This window comes from Homo sapiens, chromosome 7, assembly GCF_000001405.40.
Source record: "Homo sapiens chromosome 7, GRCh38.p14 Primary Assembly".
Lineage (NCBI taxonomy): Eukaryota > Metazoa > Chordata > Mammalia > Primates > Hominidae > Homo > Homo sapiens.
In genome coordinates, this window is record NC_000007.14 from 127,377,885 (window position 1) to 127,397,987 (window position 20,103).

Consider the following 20,103-nt stretch of genomic DNA (forward strand, 5'->3'; position numbering starts at 1 on the left):
CAGGTTCTGGGCCAACATGGGATTATGGCTATTTAGCGTGATTCTCTACGAAGTAGAGAATCTTTGTCTATACTGAGACATAATTTTGAACTATGCTTACGCCTCTTGACAGCACTATAAATTTATTCAAAGCCTTTCTCCCTTAAAACACCCCAATTACAATTAAGTATTGATATAATTACTAGTTTAATGCCTATCTTCTCTACTAGATTATACACTCCAAAGCAGCCAAGAATAAGCCTATCTTATTTACAAGTGTAACGTATTCAGCTCTTACAATGCTCAAAAACAATTTGTTGAAGAAACGCTACTAATCTAGGGAACCTAAGTACTATGAAAGAATATCTTTAGGCAGAGAAAAAATAAATGGTAAAAAGCACCTGATCTTTAAAAATAAAAACAGCCACCAGAAATAAAATACAAACGGAAGGTCTTTAGTCACTACTTTCCTACAGCTCTTTGCCACAGGTAAGGTGGCAAAACTGATCTGCAGTAATTTACTAATTAATGTACCTTTACTTTCCTCAAATTAAAACTTTTTTAAAATGACAATATATTGACTTGAACAGGAAAAGACCCAAGTACCCTGAAAAATATCCTTAAGACTGTCTAGGTGCAAAGTGTTGTGTCATTTAAGAAGCATTTAACCACCTATTAGGCTCTGGGACTACTAAAGAGTATAAACTATCTTAGAAGTATAATTAATATAGTAGGGTCTATAAAAGTTAAATAGCTCAGATTCAATATTTTGCAATCTGTTTACATTTAATCTTTGAAGTGTATTTTATCATTTTGAAAACGATGATAAAATCATTTCCCCCACCCCCACAACATACACACACACACAGAGAGAGAGAGAGAGGGAGATAATTATTGTTGATCCAAGCATTCAAAACTCTACTGCAAAAAAGTTACCAGGTTATCACAACTTTACTAAGTCTTGAGAGATTCCAAATCTGATATTATCTACTTGTGTGACCTTAAAAAGCTTTATAATCTTTATACTTTGGTTTACTCATGTTGTAAAATAGAACAAACCTAACCAAACCTAAGTTGAAGAATTATTAAAGAAAATATGAACCTAAATCCCAGGGAAATTATATACTTGAGTTTCTACTGGAAAAAATGTATAGAATAAAATAATTTCTACCATTTCCCAAATCCAAATCTATGTTTACTCCACTAGTCCTTATTACCACAAAATCAGAAAACATAAATTTAAAAAGATTCAGAGAATAGCCTGAGTGTTATTCTTTACATAAAAGTAAATTCTCATATATATATTTTTGAAGTCCATTTCACATTACAAAATATCTTGGCAACGGACTGCTAATATATTTAGTTCACAGTTAACTTCATAAGTGAGTGACAAACTATGAGAGGTAGACTGATTTTAAAAAATGCTTTGGCTAAGCCTAATTGACCTATATATATTTCTCAGGAAATGTAGGTGAGCATAGTAGCAGTGGGAAGAAAACAGGAAACTTTTGCACACTGATTCTAAACTACAAAACCTGCTAGACCCATAATACAGATTCAATTCTGCCTTTAAGGATAGTCAAAAAAGATTGAAGAGGAACACCAAAATAATGTGAACTCGGTTTAACTTAAGAATTCAACTTAAGATTTAAATAGGATACATGTACATGGCTGCAGATTTAAAGCATAAAATAATCAGTCTGTAAACATGAGGTTATACATAAAAAATAGTCAAGTGTAAAATATAAGACTGCATCCCTAAATCAGACACATCACTTTGCCTACCAGCTTCTCAATCACAGAAAAATAAAGACACTATCAATTTCTTAATTAGTCCTAATTATACAGTTAAGTTATATTCAGTAGGGACTGCATATTTATTCTCAATAAACATCCAAAAAAAAGTATTTGCCTCTAACCTTAACTAATCAATCTTAATTATCAATCACAAATGCTTCCCCTTACCCTTGCCACCCCCCCACCCCCCCACCCCCCCCACACACACACAGAGAGAGAGAGAGAGAGAGAGGGAGAGAGAGCGCAAGTGTGTGTATCGTTGATCCAAGCAGTCCAGATTTCTTTCAGGTCCACAGATACACCAAATGTATTCTTTCCCTCACTTTTCAGGCCTTCACCTATGTTTTTTCCTCTCTGACTATAACATTCTCCCACTTTCCTGATCTGACTCACTTCTAATAATCCTTCAGATCCCAGTATAGATGTCACTTCCTCCAAGAAGCCTTCAATAATCAACCTCTTGTTTTTTGTTGTTGTTTGTTAAAAATCCTTCACCTACACTCTCATAGCACCCTAGATATCTATACTAGCTTATCCACTGTTTTGTAATTAATTTCTTTTCCATATCGCCATTAAACTGGAAGATTAGAACAGAGAAGATATTCTTGATGCTCACCGCTACCCCAGCTCTCAGGATAATGCATGACTGATATTTGCTAAATGAAATACTACAGAGCTCTATGTATTAAAAAAACCTTCTCTAAAAATTAGATTTTTTAAATCTATGTGAAGTTAACTGAGGAGTCAAAAATGAGACTTTAAAACTTTTTTAATTCCACTTACATAGTTAACAAATGAGAAAAATAAGGTGTGTCTCAGTCCACAAACAGAGATAATAAAAGTTTTTCCCTTAGTTTCAGACACCACTTAAGATTTTTTTATTTTTTCCCATGGAGACAGAATGGCTTTCTTCAAAGTCAGCTACCATTTTCTGATTGCTCTGCTCACTTACAATTGGACACAGCCAACTCTAAGTGCCTCTGTCAATAGCTAAAACTTCCTGTCACCTGAGACAACAGACATGGTCATCCAGACAGCAACATAAAGTTCCTCCACAGCTCTTGATGCTGAGAAACAGAGAGCCATGCTGACTTCCTTCTTCTTTTCCTATATTGCTCTCTTTCTTGCCTTAGGGTTTTAAATTATCTTAGAAATCACCACTTACTGCTTACATAGATCAGTACCTTTCAAACATCCAGCCCTCCAAAGGAAAGGCTTTTGATAGCTAAAGATTAATGACTGTATATTCCAGATTTTCACCCCTAATAGGTGCTCAATAAAAATTACTTAAACTTCATCAAGGGTTTATCTTGTGTTATTCTTTAATGGCAAGTGCATTGCATGTACTGGTGAAAATGTTTAAAATATTTTTTCAAAAGGAATCAGTATTCAATTTTACATTAGGTTGGATGGCAGTCACATTACAATATGACAATATTAATTCTAACTCTTCTATGCTAGACAAAGACAAGGTTTCATTTTCTTACTTAATGCACTGACATTTTGGTCAATGCCCATTTTAAGTGATGACAAGAATGCTTCTTAAATGGTATACTGCTTGCTTACTATTGGCTCAAATATAAACTCAATCTTCTTTAGGATGACCACTTAACTACAATATCATCAAAACACTGCAAGTAAATAAATGTACGTTCCTCATCACAACTCCTGAAGGAAATTTCTTACTGATCATCCTTAACGTAAGGATTCAAAGATACAAAGAAAACTTAAGAAATTGAAAGTTCTATCCTAAAACTATCACCTGTAAGGGCTGGTTAAATATATATATATGTTAATTATAGAGCACTGCCACATACCACAATAAACTTAAGTAGAATACAATTATCTTAGGACAGTGCCTACTTGGGGAATCTTTTAGTTTAATCTAACAAACACTTATTGAGCACACATTAAATACCAGGTACACTGTTACTCATTGGAAATATGAAAGATACGGTCTTTCCCCCACTGAGAAACTCAGACCAATATAAATGGCTGTTGTCTTGGGAACGTAACACCAGATGACATGCTTTGAATATGAATGTAAGGAAAACAAATCTACTTTTTTCTTATAAAAAAAAGTCCCATTTTAAATTTCCTATAACTGCTATATAACAACAAAAAAAGAAAAAGCCATCATAGGTATGGCACTCTCCTATGTACCTCAGAAAAATCACGTCCACCCTACGCTTTGCCTTCAGAATCAGGACTGAAGCATCACCATTCAGTCAGAGCTTAAACTAATTGCAATTAAAGTTGTTTTAAGGAGAAAAAAAAAAGCCTAAGTTAAATGACCAAACCCAAATTTAGAAAGATAATGACAGCAAACATCACATGAAGCTAATTCTCATTTTTCATTACCATACAATTAAAGTTACAATTTATTCCTCCCTAAGAGTCAAAAAAAGAGTTCCCTGCATGTACTGCTCTAGCATATTCTACATGTAGAATCTTTTTTCTACAAATTATATATTTCTCTTCTTACAATATTATATATTTCAAGAACTTAAAAAGAAGATGTCAGCTTCATATTAAAGACCAGTCTTGAATACCAGACAAAATTATCCTTCTCTTTTCCCCTCATTTTTCTCTTTCTAACCATAGGGGCATTCCATAGTTCCTTTGCCTCTAGCACACAACTAAGAAATTCTGAAAGAATATTGAACTCAACTAAACCAATTTAATAAACACATAAAAGATATTTAATAAATATGTAAAGGTAGTACACTTTTTATCTGCTATTTAAAATTTTGTTTTGGTTTGGGGAGAGAGGTCAAAGAGGAAGGAAGATAAACTGAAAGTGTTATAGAGAGGAGGGAAATTTGAAGACACCATATTAGAAACATGATCCTATCAGAATGACACAGCCAAAGCCAAACTACACAAAGGGTAAGGCACAGTCAAGGTAGTAGAAGAAACCAGGGGTTCAGAGCAAACAGCAGGTCTCAAGTCAGCCAATCATCAGGAATTTCCAAGTGGAAAACCTGCAGCTGCAAAACCTGCAGGCTTCTTAAAAAATGAGGCATCTATCTATGGACTGATGTCAACAATAAATAGTTGAATCTACAGTTAATAAAGCAAAGGTACACAAGAGTACGTAGAGTCAGCTACCATTTGTGTAAGAAGAAAATGAGGGATATATGTTTGTATATGTATAAAAGGTCTCTGGAAGAAGACACATAAACCATGTAGCAGCGTTGCCTGAGCAAAGGGGAACTGAAGGACAGAATAGTATAGAAACTTATTTTTTCCTCTATACCCTTTTGTACTTTACTATTTAAAACCACAGACACATATTACTTATTATAAAAAGAAAAACCCATTTAACTTAATTTGCAAGTTAAGCAGACTAATAAAGATATACCAGAAGTCAATAAGAATTTGTAATTTAAATCCAAGAAAACAGTTCAAAGGAAAAGCTGAAATGTCAGGCAAACAGGATGGGTTAAAACTGGTCAAGCAGTCAGTATAGCACACATCAAGTGGTGGACATTAAAAATGAGTCAACTCCTTCATAAGACAGAACTTTTTATGAACTTCCAGCTTGCATAGGAATTAATACCTGGTCATAGACAGCCCAGTGTAGGCAGAAGGTGAGACACAAAAGGAGATGATACAGCAGTTGAAGATAACTATCTGAGCTTGAAGATAAAGGTAGATAACCTAACATATTACTACCATTCAACCTGATTTATACCCTACAGGTTAACAAGAGCAAAAGCATGGACTTCAGGGTTCTATCTTCAAATATCTGTCAAAGATATATAGCACCACCAGGATAGTTCTTTAAATGCAACGTGTGTGACCTAATTGTAATGGAAAGAGCCTAGAAATAGATGAGTCATTGAGGGTGTGCTTAGGAGTAGAGTGGAATAGGAAGAACAGAGCCTCAGAGCTAGAAGGGATCTTTGTCCCCAAGTTATACAGTCCAGACTTCCATACCATTCTCCCAAGGTTTTAGTCAGTCTCAACTTAAATGCCTTAGTGCTAAAGAAGGGCTACCACAGTAGACATTAGATTAACCAGAAATGCAAGAGATTACTATCTTGAAGAAACTAAAATTTCTTAGTTACAGGATACAGTAATGAAGTAAAATAATTCTTTTTTTAATCCAAGATTAGTTTCTTTGTACCACTCAGCATATTTCTAAATCACCTCTAACTTAAACTGTTGGGTACTCAGAAAATTAAAATAATAGTATTTTCAGAATTTGCCTAAATAAAAAATAACTCAAAAGGCAAATTTGCTGATATCATTTTAAAAAGATCGCAGTTCAAAACATCAACATAAAATGGCTTTGGAATTTTACCATTTCAAATTACCCGTTTCACTGCCTCACTTCTTTAGCTCAGAGAGTAAAAATACGACAAACACAGAGAACAGATATGATCACAACATAATAAGAAAATAATTAATTTAATCTTTAAATATTTGCCTTCTAAAATTAAAAAAGATTTTTGGAATCTTTTTTAATTCTGTACCCACACAGATTTTGGGTACAGGTTCTTGTTGATAAGGCTGTTTTTTAACAAGTCAAAGCACTTATGACTTAACTAATTCTAACTTCTTTTTTTTTTTTTTTTTTTTTTTTTAGACAGAGTCTCACTCTTTCCTCCAGGCCGGACTGCAGTGGCGCTATCTTGGCTCACTGCAAGCTCCCCCTCCCGGGTTCACGCCATTCTCCTGCCTCAGCCTCTCGAGTAGCTGAGACTACAGGCGCCCGCCGCCGCCCCCCAGCTAATTTTTTGTATTTTTAGTAGAGACGGAGTTTCACCGTGTTAGCCAGGATGGTCTCGATCTCCTGACCTCGTGATCTGCCCGCCTCGGCCTCCCAAAGTGCTGGGATTACAGACGTGAGCCACCGCGCCCAGCCTAATTCTAACTTCTCAATAAAAAAATGCTATAGTAAACTGACATAGTATAACTTCATTAATTCCAAATTAAGAATTTTAAAAAAGAAACCTATAACAAGTAATATTACTAAATATGAAAAGCTATTGCTGTCATTTCCATGGTATGAGAAAGAACCAAAAAAACCCTTTAATCTCTATTCTAAAAGAAGCTAAAACAAACAGACACTATTTTTTCTGTTATGCCAGAAATATAAATACTGTCCCTAATAAGTAAAATTCTATTTTAATTGAACTTATCACAAGAAAATTTGACCTATAAATTATCTGTTAGTCGAGGGCAATTATCAAAAGTAAAAATCAAACAACAAAAAATCCCTAAAATAGTTTATACCACCATCCAATATAAGGATAGGCACTTGGTATACAAGCAATGCTTCCTAAATTAAATACAGATAAAAGCAATGCCATGAGTACTACAGATGAAAAGTCTAAGAAATGGATCTTTTGGAGAGTCAGAGAAAAAATAAATGTTTTAATTCAGATTCTATTTCTTAGAATCCTAAAGTAAAGCAAATATATGATTTCCCCGTTTATAACAATTTAGAAACAAGCAACTCAAAAAATCTCATCAATACAAAACAAGTAGTTACATATGAATTATTTTTCCTTTGAACCTCAGAAATTTTTCATTCAGTTAGTTAAGATTTAAATAATGACAAGGTATTCTAATCCTCTAAGTGTCCATCAGTCATATTTATTTGCTTGTTCACATCTGAGTGAATACTCTGTAATGTCAGAGAAGCCAAATACACAAGGGGTGGACAAGTGGATTATAGGAATCACAGCAACCTAACATCTTACTGATAACATAGGGGCGCTAACAGTTCCCAATCATTTCACATGTTGTAAGTAATACCTATTTTAAAACACTGGATTACAATTACACAATTATATTTATTATAAAGCTAATTCTTATTATCAGCTAATGAAAATAAAATCTAAGCAAATCTACCTGAAGATATCAGGGCTGGAATATTGTCTTTCTTCTATCTTGCGCTCTATTAAAGATACCAAAACTCCACAAACTCAAGGGTTAGGATGAAGGAGGTGATCACACAAACATAAATAAGGTAATTAACCTAGAACAAATGACATCTCAGACATTCTGAGTAATCTACTGTACCAAAGCTCATGAAGACCCAGAATAATTTACTGCCTTTTGAGAGTTTACACAAAACATGCCAAAAGATATCAATGGATCTTTAAGAAGTGCTTTACCAGAAAATACACCACATAATATATTTATTTAAATCATACTAAACAAATTTATTTTAAAATTAATATACCATATATAGTACTGAAGAATAATCTCTAGACCAAGTCAGTATTTATACATCCACTTTTTTAAAATATGAAAATTTTAAATATTCTATAAAGAAAGCCAACATATACATTTTAATGTTTTTTAAAAATTATTTCTAAGGACTTCTAGGTAGTTTTTAACTACTATGTGAAGATTGAAAAATATATCCTAAAACATTCATACCTGATCGAAAGCACTCAATTATTTGTTGAATACCAGATTTGGATGTCTGTAGTGGTTGCTGTAACAAAGGAGGATCTCCAGGTTCCAGGATATAAACTACATGGAAGACAAACACCCACCCCAATCCCCACAAAAAAAGGGTTATTTAAATCATTTACTATTAAAGTAAAACAATGGCTTTCTACAATTACATTAAGGATAATCACACTTGTGCCCGCACACACACACGCATATATAATATGTAGATATATATATAATTAACCATCATCTTTGTAAGGCAAAATGAAACAATGGAGAAAAAAACTAAAACTATTCTCAAAGGCTAACTTAAGGCTACTTAAGGCTAGATATTAGGTTTCAATACAAAGACCTTACTATTTTGGTATTATTTAGTATACATTCTTCATGTTTGCCTTTTTATTCCCCTTGAAGAGGAACCACTATATTTAATCAAAATTCTAAGGCAATGGTGGCCTAGCCACGCTTCATAAACCATTCCAAAATCCTCTGGATAATCTGGTATAACTCTGGATATTTATGAGCAAAATGTCAAAAATCACTGCCTAAAGAAATAACTGAACAAGTGCACAATGATGGATGCAGAAGAATGTTCACTGTAGTGCTCTGCAGCACTGTATATAATTGAGAGAAATTTCAAACAACTTAAAAGTCTCTTAATAGTGACCAGATTAAATAAACTGTGAAATGTCCATAGGACAGACTTTTTCATGGCTGTTAGAAAGCATGAACTAGTTCTATGTGTATTCACAACAAAGGATGGCAATAATTGTTAAGCAACAAACATAGGTTATAGAATATGATCCCATTTACATTAATACATTGGTAGATGCAGAAATATATAAATTTAATATATATTTTATATATGTATAAATGCTGTTAGGGTGGATTTTCAGGGATGTTTGCTTTCTGCCTCACACTTTAATGCTGCTTCAGAGTCTGGCTTTTAGAAAGGACACATTTTTACAATAAGTAAAAATAATCTTTCCATTTTAAAAATTAAAAATTTCATTTTTACATAAAGAGGTTTATATTATCCCTAATTCCCAAGATTCTCAGACTAGTAGTATAGATACATAATAAATTACAGTAATATGAATAAAGACAACAGAAAAGGAAAACTGGGTTTCTTCATCAGTTATCAAATAGAGATGGTTGTGGTGGAGAAAAACTGACCATTTTAATTATCTCTTTTTTAAATATGCCATAATGTTCTACTCAACTATGACCATCGTAACACAGGACCACCCACTTAGTGTGAGGAGAAATGAAGGGTGATTTCAACAATGTGTGCTACTCTTGCTTCAGGGTTTAGGCTTGGACAGTACTTAGCTTTCTGATAGCGGGGCTAAACTAGCCTACTGTGCTATGTATATAGATACAGGCTTAGATTCTCCTTTATGCTTCAAGTCTAGTGCTCAGTGTACACAAACAAGAGGAATGATGTTTTGGGACCAACTCATTTCATTAAGCAAAATTTCCCCAATTTTAAGAGACACTTGGCCTGGTGCAGTGGCTCAGGCCTGTAATCCCAGCACTTTGGGAGGCCAAGGCAGGAGGATTACTTGAGCCTAGAAGTTCAAGACCAGCCTGGGCAAAATGGCAAGACCCCATCTCTACAAAAAATACAAAAATTAGCCAGGCGTGGTGGCTCATGCCTCTAGTCCTAGTTACGTGGGAGGCTGAGCTGGGAGGATCGTTTGAGCCCGGGAGGCAGAGGTTGCAGTGAGCTGTGATCACGCCACTGCACTCCAGCCTGGGCAACACAGCAAAACTGACTCAAAATAAATAAACAAATTAATTAATTAATTAATTTAGGTGTATTTTAGATTAATTAAGAACACACACACACACACACACACACACACACACACTCATTTTGAGAATATCTGACATTGGCACTAACTGCAGTGATTAAGAACATAAGAATCCAGACCTGGACTCTCTGTGTTTAAATTCTTTTTCTGCCATTTACTAGATACAATTAGGGCAAATTAAACTCTCTGATTTCTCTTTTCTCAGGTCTAAAATGGAGATTTTCACAGTACTTAAATTATAGGGTTGTATAGGGGTTAAATAAGCTAATGCAAATCAACTGCTTAAAACAGCCTGGGACATAGTAAGTGCTCAATAAACATTCTACCATCACTATCATCAACATGTACCCATCAATTGCTTTCCTGACACCAAAAACCAAAAAATCTTTTTTCAAAATCTTAGAGAAAGAGAATTAAACCTCTTACGAAAACAGAAGTTTGTAAACAGACCAGTATCGTCTACTTGAATAAACTGATTTCTCCTATTTGCACATTATAGCAACAGGTAACTACTTACAAAAAAAATGGTAACTACATAAAAGAGGGTGAAAACCCACACTACTGTAAAAAACTAAATGCTTCAAAGTCTGCCTCTATCAGTTACAAGAATTCTAGAATTGGAGAATGAAAAAACAGAAATAAATAAGGGAAGGATATTGGGAAAAACAGACTCTTCTCCTTAGAGCTCCTGCATTTACAAATGTGTTCCATTTGTATAAATGTGCTCCTTCTGTATAAAATACACCAACTTCCACTTCCACATGACAGCACCTCATTTTAAAGCTAAGGCTAAATATTCTTACCCACCACCCTCAGAACACTGCTACCACCAGAACACATACACATCCTGAGATAACATTCAAAATAAGCCCAGGATTAGCTTAGCTGTGCCTGGACACAACCACTTGGTATACACATCTGTGTAGCTCCCACTCTAAAGAAACAATTCTTCCTTCACTTGAAAACATACTCTCAACTCTAGAAAACTTTATTATATTAATACTTTATAAAATTGCTTCTTACATAGCCTATCATCCTCCCAAGATCAGACCCACCCAGGTTACATGACCATTTAGAAAAAAAAAATCTTTCTCCAACCAAAAAACCCAAATCCTCAGAACATCTTTCCTTACACCCTTCCAAAAACACACTTCCCAGAATATAACATTGACTTTTGTAAGAGTCTCTCCTCCCTTAAAACAAGGCCCTTAAAAGATCACTCTATTTATGACGTATGGGACTTGCTTACAAATATTAGGGAGAGAGAGTAAGTGGAAGGTAGAGAGGGGAATTGGGGGAGGAGGGGAGGAGAGAATATAGAGGAAAAGAGATTGTCCATGTAACAACTGATGGAGTTGTGTGATGGTTACATCAAGTTCCTCATATTATCTAGTTTTGAAGGTTTGGAAATTTCTATTAATAAAATCTTAAAACATAACTAAGAAAATACATACACTGCCAGAGTTATAGTGCCACCCTTCACTATAAATTGACCTATCTCTTCAAGGCAGAATGGCCTCATCAGGAATATACTGATCTCCTCTGGAGACTCACCCAGTATTCATAATCCAAATGTGGACAGATTTTTATCAAACATTATGTCATCTTCCCTCCATCTGTGGACATGATCTTTTAAAAGCTATCACACTACAACATATTTCTTTCAGTCCTGGAAATATCCTACCCACTCAGCATATACCTTCCTCTGAAATAATGACAATGAACTACTCTATAAGTTAACAAAGTTCTATTTATCCATTCAACAAAATTCTAAGAAAGTTTGATTCAAGCTAACAAGGCAAGAAAACAGTAACTACTGTTGACGTGATAAGTCTGAAAATTAACCTGCATGGAAAAAGTTTCTAGTAAAAGATGTTGAAAATTTTAAACTAATACAATTTTGTCTGAGTTCCTGCTAGTTGGGGAGAAAAAAAAACAAGCAAAAACATTTCAATACACGTTAAAAAGCTCAAGTCTAGAAAACATCTTTAAAGACATTAAAGTCTTCAGAAAACTCATTACCAGAACATACTAAATAAGGTATAATCACAAATTAGCTTATTTGTTTACTTCTTTATGTTTATCTCTTCCCACTCAAACATTTTATAAAGAAAGAACTTTATCTGTCTTGTTCACCACTTATATCCCCATTGCCTTCAACAGTGCTCTCAATAGATGTTCAATAACAATTTGTTAAAGAAATGAATGATCAATAAATTTCTTCCTAAATAAGATGGTTTCATTAACTAATTCAACTTCAATGATTAAAAGTGTTCTCAGAAAAAAAAAACTAGACTAAAAGGTCAGTGGAACATGAGTTTAAATGGCACTCACATCTGTATAGTTCAAAACTAGCAAACTCCATTCAACATCAGTAAAACATAAGTGATATATCTGCAGTTCAAATACACAAAATATGCAGTGTGAAAGGATCCTGAAAGTTAAACAGGTCAAGAGCAGTTCAATAGAAACTGGATCCCATCCAAGGATTGCCTGTTTTATTAGTACAGGTAAGTTATTACTGATCTCAGCAAAGTACAGTAGAGATAGGGTTGTAGTACGAATTTTATCCTCATCTGTAGCAAAGTTTTCTTAAAATGGAAGCTCTTCCCTTCTACTGATAACATTTTTTTCCATTAATCAGAAAATTACCTAAAATGAACTCTACTGTGATAAAATCCAAGTACATAAGTGCAGTTAAAATACTCCAACAAAAAGCAAGCAAATGTATTAAAAATCTAATAACTTTTAGGTCAAAAATAATGATAAACATCCGCCTTTAAACTAGAATAGCCTAGCCTTTATTTGATTTAGTGATGGTATGCATTCAATGATTCCCTTTTAAGTTATACCTTTTAATGATTGTCACAAAGCATATCAAAGTTCTAAGTAGAACTGTCAACAGTATATCAAGTTTATCAAATTAAAGTTTGCTAGTATTCTTCATGAGACTCCGAAAAACTTTTTCATATGATAAATTCAACTAAAGCAAGTTTCATTCCATAAAATACCCTGGAAATAATTATGTATTCTACCTAAATAAAAAAAGAGATTTCTCTTTTATTTCGCAATATAATATGTTCTGCCCAAGATATTTTTTTAAAGGTTGCGCTTAGCAAAACCTGATTCTCCCAATGAGTTCAACAAACTTTTAAAACCCAAACTAAACTCACTTTTAGACTTTCAGAACTACTTGCTGATTAAAATGCCTAAGAAACTTTTAATTTTTAAAGTTTCAGTGAAACAATTTCACGACAACAAATCTAGTATTCTATGTTTTCCTTTCTCTTCAATTTTAAACATTTACAGACCATAGGAGTATATTAACTGCAGGATGCCTTGAAAAAGAAAGAAAAAAGACTGAGCGACTGATCTTGTGGAAATGATTTAAGGTGACACTTGCAGTACTTTTTTTTAAGGGATCAAGCAGGGGAGACCTCTTGTTTGTACAAGCTTTTAGCTTCATAACTGGCTTATGCTAGGGAATATCATAGCCTGCTTAAGAATGACTACTGGGGCAGGAGGAAAAAAAGCTAGAAAAAAAGAGAAGGCAGAGTGGCTCTGATGGAGGGCAAAGCAACTGCGGACGAAGAGGGGTCTACCTGGTTCACAGCATCCGTGATGATGGTGGTCAGTCTGACAGTATTTGTCCCTTAAAGGCATTTTCAGTGGACTCGACCTACTTTGCTTTCACTGTAAGAAGCTCTTCATTGCGGCGTGGCTGTTGAAAGAAGCACAAACCCGTCACTCGCCCTGAACTTCCTGGGGGGCACTGGCTGCATTTTCCAGATACGTTCCCATCATCAGCTCTCCGCTTTCCCTCCACGGACCCGCACCTCCCTCTCGAAAAGAAAACAGAAAGACGCACAAACCCTCCTGCAGCCCAAACTCCCCACACAGGTTCATCGCCCTACCCGGAAACGCAGCCTCGGGTGCGCAGCGCAGGGCGAAGGCCTGGCCGGCAGCGCGGGCGGCTGCGGCCTCGCCGTCCCGGGCGGGCGCGCGGAAACGGAGCGCAGAGCGCGGCGGGCACCGCCGGGCTCCGGGACTACGGAGGTGCCGCTCCCGCCGGCTGCTGGCCCACGCCGCGCCCTCCCGCTACGCACGTGCGTTGGGGTCTCCCTGGCGGAGACCCCGTCCCCACAACCAAGTGCGCCCAACTTACTCAACTCTTAGGGCGGGCCGGCGGGCGGGCGGAAGGAAGGAAGGCAGGCCGGGCGGCCGCGGGGACAGCCTGGCGTGGGAGGCGGCTGCGGGCCCCACCTGGCGCAGCCTCCGCTGACCACGCGGGGGAACCCGGACTCGGGCCCGACGCGCTCCCAAAGAGTCCCCGCCGGCGCTGACGCGGAAGCGCCACAGCTCACCACGTCCCTCCGCGGGCCGAGACGACTGCGGCGGCGGCTCACGGCGTCCTCCGCGCTGTGTGGCTAGGCGGGAGGCGCGCGGGCGGAGGCAGTTGACAGGAGGAACCGCCCGGCAGCAGCTGCCGCCGCCACCACCGAAGGAGCCGGAACCGGAGCGGGCAGGACCTGAGGCTTCCCTCGCCGGGGCAACGGCTGCCGCCGCAACCCGGGTCCCACCAGCGCCGCTCCACCTGCAACGGTCCCTCAGGCTTTAGGAGAGGGGCGGAGAAAAATGGGGGTCTCCCCCAACCTTGGGCCTTTTCGGTGGTAGTTGTTGTTTCAGGAAACTTTATTAAGTCAGCCTCTCTTTTACTCTGTCGCCCCCTCCTCCGGAGAGCCCGAGCTACCGCCGCGGAGCGCGTAGGAAGGGGGAAGCAGAGACTCTCCGGCAGCGACAGGGAGCGACTGACTGACCCCGGACGGAGATGGGGCGAGGGCAGGAAGTGACAAGCTCACCGAGTGGGTGGGGGGAGTGTGGCCGGCACGCCCGGGAGCGCCGCGCGCATGCGCCCGGCCGGCGCCCCCGCCTGTGGGTAGGCGACGCGCTGTGCCCGCCGCGGCCGGTGGGGAGGGGACCGGGGCCGCCGGCGCGAGGGCCGTGTCCGAGGGGAGGGAACCGGGGCGGGGGACACCAGGGCCGCGGCCGGAGTCTCGGGCCGACCGAGAGCCGAAGCCCAAAGTGAGGTGTGAGGCCCGCGATGCGGCGTGCGCGCCCACGGAGACGGGCTGCTCGGCCACCAAACTGTTGCTCTCGCTGTTCTCTGTTCAGTGGAACTGAAACTCGGGGAGGGTTGGGAGAGGACTTAGGAAGCGGTGGGCAGATGTATGAGCCATAAGTAGTGATGATCCCCAAAAGGCTGTCAGTGCATTGCTAAATGGCAAAAGTTGAACATTTTTTTCCTGCCAACAATTTTCGAAGCATGCCTCCCGGAACTTGGGGATTCTTTTATCAGGCCCAAGGGAGGGAAAGCATCTATTGGTAGCAGATGGGTATTTATCCTGGCAGCTCCGCTTCTCAAACTTGAAAGTGGAGTTGGGTCACGTGGGCTCACGCACTTTCCCTCCTCTTCTGCGCCCCGATCCTGCTTGGAAAATCCTCGAAGATCCCAGTCATCTGTCAAATTCTGCCAACCAAGGGCCGCTTCTTGGGGGCGAGAGAGCCGCCTCCGTTGTTTCCTCCCAGCTCCTGGAACGTAATTCTTGCTCTTGGTGACATCAAGCAAATATGTGTCCACCGCCCGTCAGGAAATTTTAAGAGAATAAAGCCCATTCGCCTTGTCTCCGATCCTCCCCAAGATCCACTGAAAACCTTTCCAGTTGGTCCAACTTAAGCTGCCATTGTGCGGGGTCCTGAAAAAACTGAAGTTCAGTAGATAGACTTTGTTTAGAAGAGAAAAAGTTCAGTTTTCAAAATCCAAAGGAAAGTTTGTAAATTGATACATTTGTTACTTTAAAAATGTTGGGCCAGGCGCAGTGGCTGGTGTTTGTAATCCCAGCACTTCGGGAGGTCAAAGCGGGAGGATCGCTTAAGCCCAGGAGTTAGAGACCAGCCTGGCAACATGGCAAAACGCCCTCTCAACCAAATAAAAAAAAATTAGCCGGGCAGGATGGCGCGTGCCTGTGGTCCCAGCTACGGGAGAGGCGGGGGCGGGGGGCGGGATGGCTTGGGTCCAGGAGGTGAAGCGTTTGCATTAGGTCTCCGGGGATTGCAGCAGCTTGATTCTAGGGGATGACAAGAAAGGGATAGAAACGTGATCTTTAACTAGTCACATAAGTGGTATGATCATATATATCTGTCCCATAGTTAAGAGGCATCACCCAACGTGAAACTAAAATATGAAATGCCACAGTTTATAAATTAATGTAAAATAAGTTATGATACTTCTGTGATAGTGTTTGTTATGCAGCCAATAAAAATCACATTTTATATAAAATTTAGTTGTATGGAATATGCTTAAGCAACAAAAAAGAAGTATTTTGAAATGTGATATTTTAACAGTGGGCTGTAACAGTGCAATTATGAATGATTTTTATTTTATTCTTTTGTATACTTTGCAAAATTTGTAAATTAAGTATATAAAACTTTAATAAGCAGAAAAATTTTGAAACGCAGTAAGAAGGCTGTAATAATATGAAAATGGTATACACTAATAAAGCTCAATGTCACTCCAAAAAATGCAGTGAAAAAAGACTGAAAGAAACATGCAAATATCTACACTGGAGACCTCTGCGTGGTAAAATGTGAGGTAAAATATTTTCTGCATTTTCAGAGGATCTTTTCCTACTTTTATGTAATAAACATATTTATCATAGGCTTAAAAATGAATATGCAAGTCTAAATTGTTCTAACCCTGAAAAAGCTTTGCTTCAGATATATCAGTTGTTTGCTGACCAGGTGTGAGTAAAAAAAAAAAAAAAAAAAAAAAAAAAAAAACACACAAAAGTATGTTTTGTGAGCAAATGTAGTGTTATTTATATTCGAATGCAAAGTGGTCAGTACCAGAGGGTCCTCAAAATTGCTTGCTAACAGAGTAAGTTTAGACAATCTTTGAAAAATTAGAATTAGAGTCAAGATGAAATGTGCATGTCGGTAAAACAAATATTAAACATATCTGTATAAAAACGAAATAATCCAATTGAACCTGGGAGGCGGAGGTTGCAGTGAGCCGAGATCACGCCACTGCACTCTAGCCTGGCAACAGAGTAAGACTCTGTCTCAAAAAAAAAAGAAAGAAAGAAAGAAAAAAGAAAAGAAAGAATCATAAAAATTGAGACCCAGAGAGATTAAGTAATGTGCTAGTCAGTAGGAACTTGGGGTCAGGACCTAGATTACTCCCTACTATAATTAACAGTACTACTATTTGACATGTATTGAGGAGTTAATATTTTTTAAGCTCCATATTAGCTCATTTAATCCTATCAACAATTTAATGAGGTTTTGCTGTCCTTCCATTCTGCAGGTGGGAAAACTGAGGTAAAGAGAGTTTAGATGACTTAACAAGTGATATGGTTTGGCTGTGTCCCCACCCACATCTCATCTTGAATTGTTGTCCCTGTAATCCCCACGTGTTGTGGGAGGGACCCAGTGGGAGGTAATTGAATCATGGGGGTGGTTTCCCTCATGCTGTTCTCCTGATAGTGAATTCTCATGAGATCTGATGGTTTTATAAGCATCTGGCATTTCCCCTGCTGGCACTCATTCTCTCTCCTGCTGCCCTGTGAAGAGGTGATTTCTGCCATGATTGTAAGTTTCTTGAGGCCTCCCCAGCCACGCAGAACTATGAGTCAATTAAACCTCTTTTCTTTATAAACCACCCAGTCTCAGGTATTTCCTTATAGCAATGTGAGAATGGACTAATACACCAAGCTGATAGGTAGCTGAGCCATCATTTGACCCCAAGCAGTTTGGCTCTGGAACTCATGAACTTAGCCATCACACTGTACTGTCTACACTATGCTACCTTCACTATGCCATAGCTGTTTTGGTTCACATTGTATGTGAAAGACGAGCCAGTAGATCCTGCCAGTTGTGAAAGGTATTGCATATTAAAATGCTATGTGCAAGTTCATGAACTGGAAATGAGTTGCCAAATTACAAGAATTTAATTGAAATTTCACAGGGCTCTAGAACTTAAAGGAACCTTAGACATCATCTGAGTTATCACCCTACCTCTAAAAACAATGCACACAAACTATCCCAAAAAAATTATCTGCCTTCCCTTTCGTTGTTCACTGCAGCAACCTAGGTGACACATTACTTTTTTATCCTTAAAAGTCTAGAAGTACATCATAATGGTTCATGTAAATCCATTTTATAGTTTAAAATTCTCTCATCCTCAGTGAGAGGACACTATCTCTCATACATACATACACATATACAGTATATTATTGCTGCATAGCCAGCCAGAATTGGTGGCTTAAAGTCATTTTATGTGCTCTCAATTCTGAAGATTAGTAATTTGGGCTGGCCTTGTCTAGAGTCACCCATGCAGATGCTACAGTCAACTAGCGGCTTGACTGGGTACTGTCACATGGTATTTGGTGTTGGCTGTTGGCTAGACCTCTCTTCTTGTAGCCTTTCAACCTCAAGGAGACTAGCCTGGGTTTCCTCATGCAGTGGCAGCATGCCAAGCCAGTAGAGAGTAGAAATTACAAGATTTCTTGAGGCCCTCAGTTCAGAATGTATATGACATCACTTTCACTACATTTTGTTAGTCAAGTCAAAGAGCCAGCATAAATTCAGGAAGTAGAGACTTAGACTTGCCTCTTGCTGGGAGAAGCAGCAAAATCACATTGCAAAAGGATATGCATTCAGGAATGGGAGGAATTATTGTGATGATTTTCACATTTAATCTATCACAATATATACTTATTTTGAAAATGATACTAGCTAATTAAAGCCACTGATTTTTTTTAATGCTTTAAGAACAGTAAAACAAGGAAACACTAGTCAGACTTATTCTTTCAACTGACTGAGTCCATTTGATGGCCTTCTATAAATTTTGGTGATTCCTTAAGTTTTCTTTTTTTTTTAAATTATACTTTAAGTTTTAGGGTACATGTGTGCACAACGTGCAGGTTTGTTATATATGTATACATGTGCCATGTTGGTGTGCCACACCCATTAACTCGTCATTTAACATTAGGTATATCTTCTAATGCTATCCCTTCCCCCTCCCCCCACCCCACAACAGGCCCCGGTGTGTGATGTTCCCCTTCCTGTATCCATGTGTTCTCATTGTTCAATTCCCACCTATGAGTGAGAACATGCGGTGTTCGGTTTTTTGTCCTTGCGATAGTTTGCTGAGAATGATGGTTTCCAGCTTCATCCATGTCCCTACAAAGGACATGAACTCATCCTTTTTTATGGCTGCATAGTATTCCATGGTGTATATGTGCCACATTTTCTTAATCCGGTCTATCATTATTGGACATTTGGGTTGGTGCCAAGTCTTTGCTATTGTGAATAGTGCTGCAGTAAACATACCTGTGCATGTGTCTTTATAGCAGCATGATTTATAATCCTTTGGGTATATACCCAGTAATGGGATGGCTGGATCAAATGCTATTTCTAGTTCTAGATCCCTGAGGAATCGCCACACTGACTTCCACAATGGTTGAACTAGTTTACAGTCCCACCAACTGTGTAAAAGTGTTCTTATTTCTTCACATCCTCTCCAGCACCTGTTGTTTCCTGACTTTATAATGATCGCCATTCTAACTGGTGTGAGATGGTATCTCGTTGTGGTTTTGATTTGCATTTCTCTGACGGCCAGTGATGGTGAGCATTTTTTCATGTGTCTTGGCTGCATAAATGTCTTCTTTTGAGAAGTGTCTGTTCATATCCTTTGCCCACTTTTTGATGGGGTTGTTTGTTTTTTTCTTGTACATTTGTTTGAGTTCATTGTAGATTCTGGATATTAGCCCTTTGTCAGATGAGTAGATTGCAAAAATTTTCTCCCATTCTGTAGGTTGCCTGTTCACTCTGATGGTAGTTTCTTTTGCTGTGCAGAATCTCTTTAGTTTAATTAGATCCCATTTGTCAATTTTGGCTTTTGTTGCCATTGCTTTTGGTGTTTTAGACATGAAGTCCTTGCCCATGCCTATGTCCTGAATGGTATTGCCTAGGTTTTCTTCCAGGGTTTTTATGGTTTTAGGTCTAACATTTAAGTCTTTAATCCATCTTGAAT

At 38.3% G+C, this 20,103-nt stretch overlaps 1 protein-coding gene across 38 annotated transcripts in view, besides 6 other annotated features; it reads right to left on the reverse strand.

Annotated features, from left to right (window-relative positions):
- The window catches only part of ZNF800 (zinc finger protein 800), a 49,850-nt gene extending 35,026 nt beyond the window's left edge, over positions 1-14,824 (reverse strand). For 9 of the 38 annotated variants that reach the window (NM_001438611.1, NM_001438587.1, NM_001438591.1 and 6 more), the window contains exons 1-3: positions 14,176-14,824; positions 13,613-13,731; positions 8,176-8,271 (exon numbers count right to left, since the gene is read on the reverse strand). In NM_001438611.1, the coding sequence (NP_001425540.1) occupies positions 8,176-8,271; positions 13,613-13,673 (157 nt within the window). In that variant the 5' untranslated portion in view covers positions 13,674-13,731; positions 14,176-14,824. Of the gene's footprint in view, positions 1-7,641; positions 8,272-13,612; positions 13,732-13,924 lie in introns of those variants that run through there. The other 29 variants (XM_006715868.5, NM_001438590.1, NM_001438616.1 and 26 more) reach the window with 14 other exon arrangements.
- Positions 13,984-14,383: a silencer, noted in NCBI's record as "silent region_18592". NCBI's record gives its function as "represses an Ori minimal core promoter by ATAC-STARR-seq in GM12878 lymphoblastoid cells {active_cell/tissue: GM12878}" and the evidence as "EXISTENCE:reporter gene assay evidence [ECO:0000049][PMID:35858748]".
- Positions 13,984-14,779: a biological region, named in NCBI's record as "H3K27ac hESC enhancer GRCh37_chr7:127032217-127032717".
- Positions 14,279-14,779: an enhancer, noted in NCBI's record as "H3K27ac hESC enhancer chr7:127032217-127032717 (GRCh37/hg19 assembly coordinates)". NCBI's record gives its function as "activates a minimal SCP1, AML or CMV promoter by ChIP-STARR-seq in primed H9 embryonic stem cells {active_cell/tissue: H9 hESC(primed)}" and the evidence as "EXISTENCE:reporter gene assay evidence [ECO:0000049][PMID:30033119]".
- Positions 14,624-14,753: an enhancer, noted in NCBI's record as "active region_26583". NCBI's record gives its function as "activates an Ori minimal core promoter by ATAC-STARR-seq in GM12878 lymphoblastoid cells {active_cell/tissue: GM12878}" and the evidence as "EXISTENCE:reporter gene assay evidence [ECO:0000049][PMID:35858748]".
- Positions 14,784-15,183: a silencer, noted in NCBI's record as "silent region_18593". NCBI's record gives its function as "represses an Ori minimal core promoter by ATAC-STARR-seq in GM12878 lymphoblastoid cells {active_cell/tissue: GM12878}" and the evidence as "EXISTENCE:reporter gene assay evidence [ECO:0000049][PMID:35858748]".
- Positions 15,494-15,623: an enhancer, noted in NCBI's record as "active region_26584". NCBI's record gives its function as "activates an Ori minimal core promoter by ATAC-STARR-seq in GM12878 lymphoblastoid cells {active_cell/tissue: GM12878}" and the evidence as "EXISTENCE:reporter gene assay evidence [ECO:0000049][PMID:35858748]".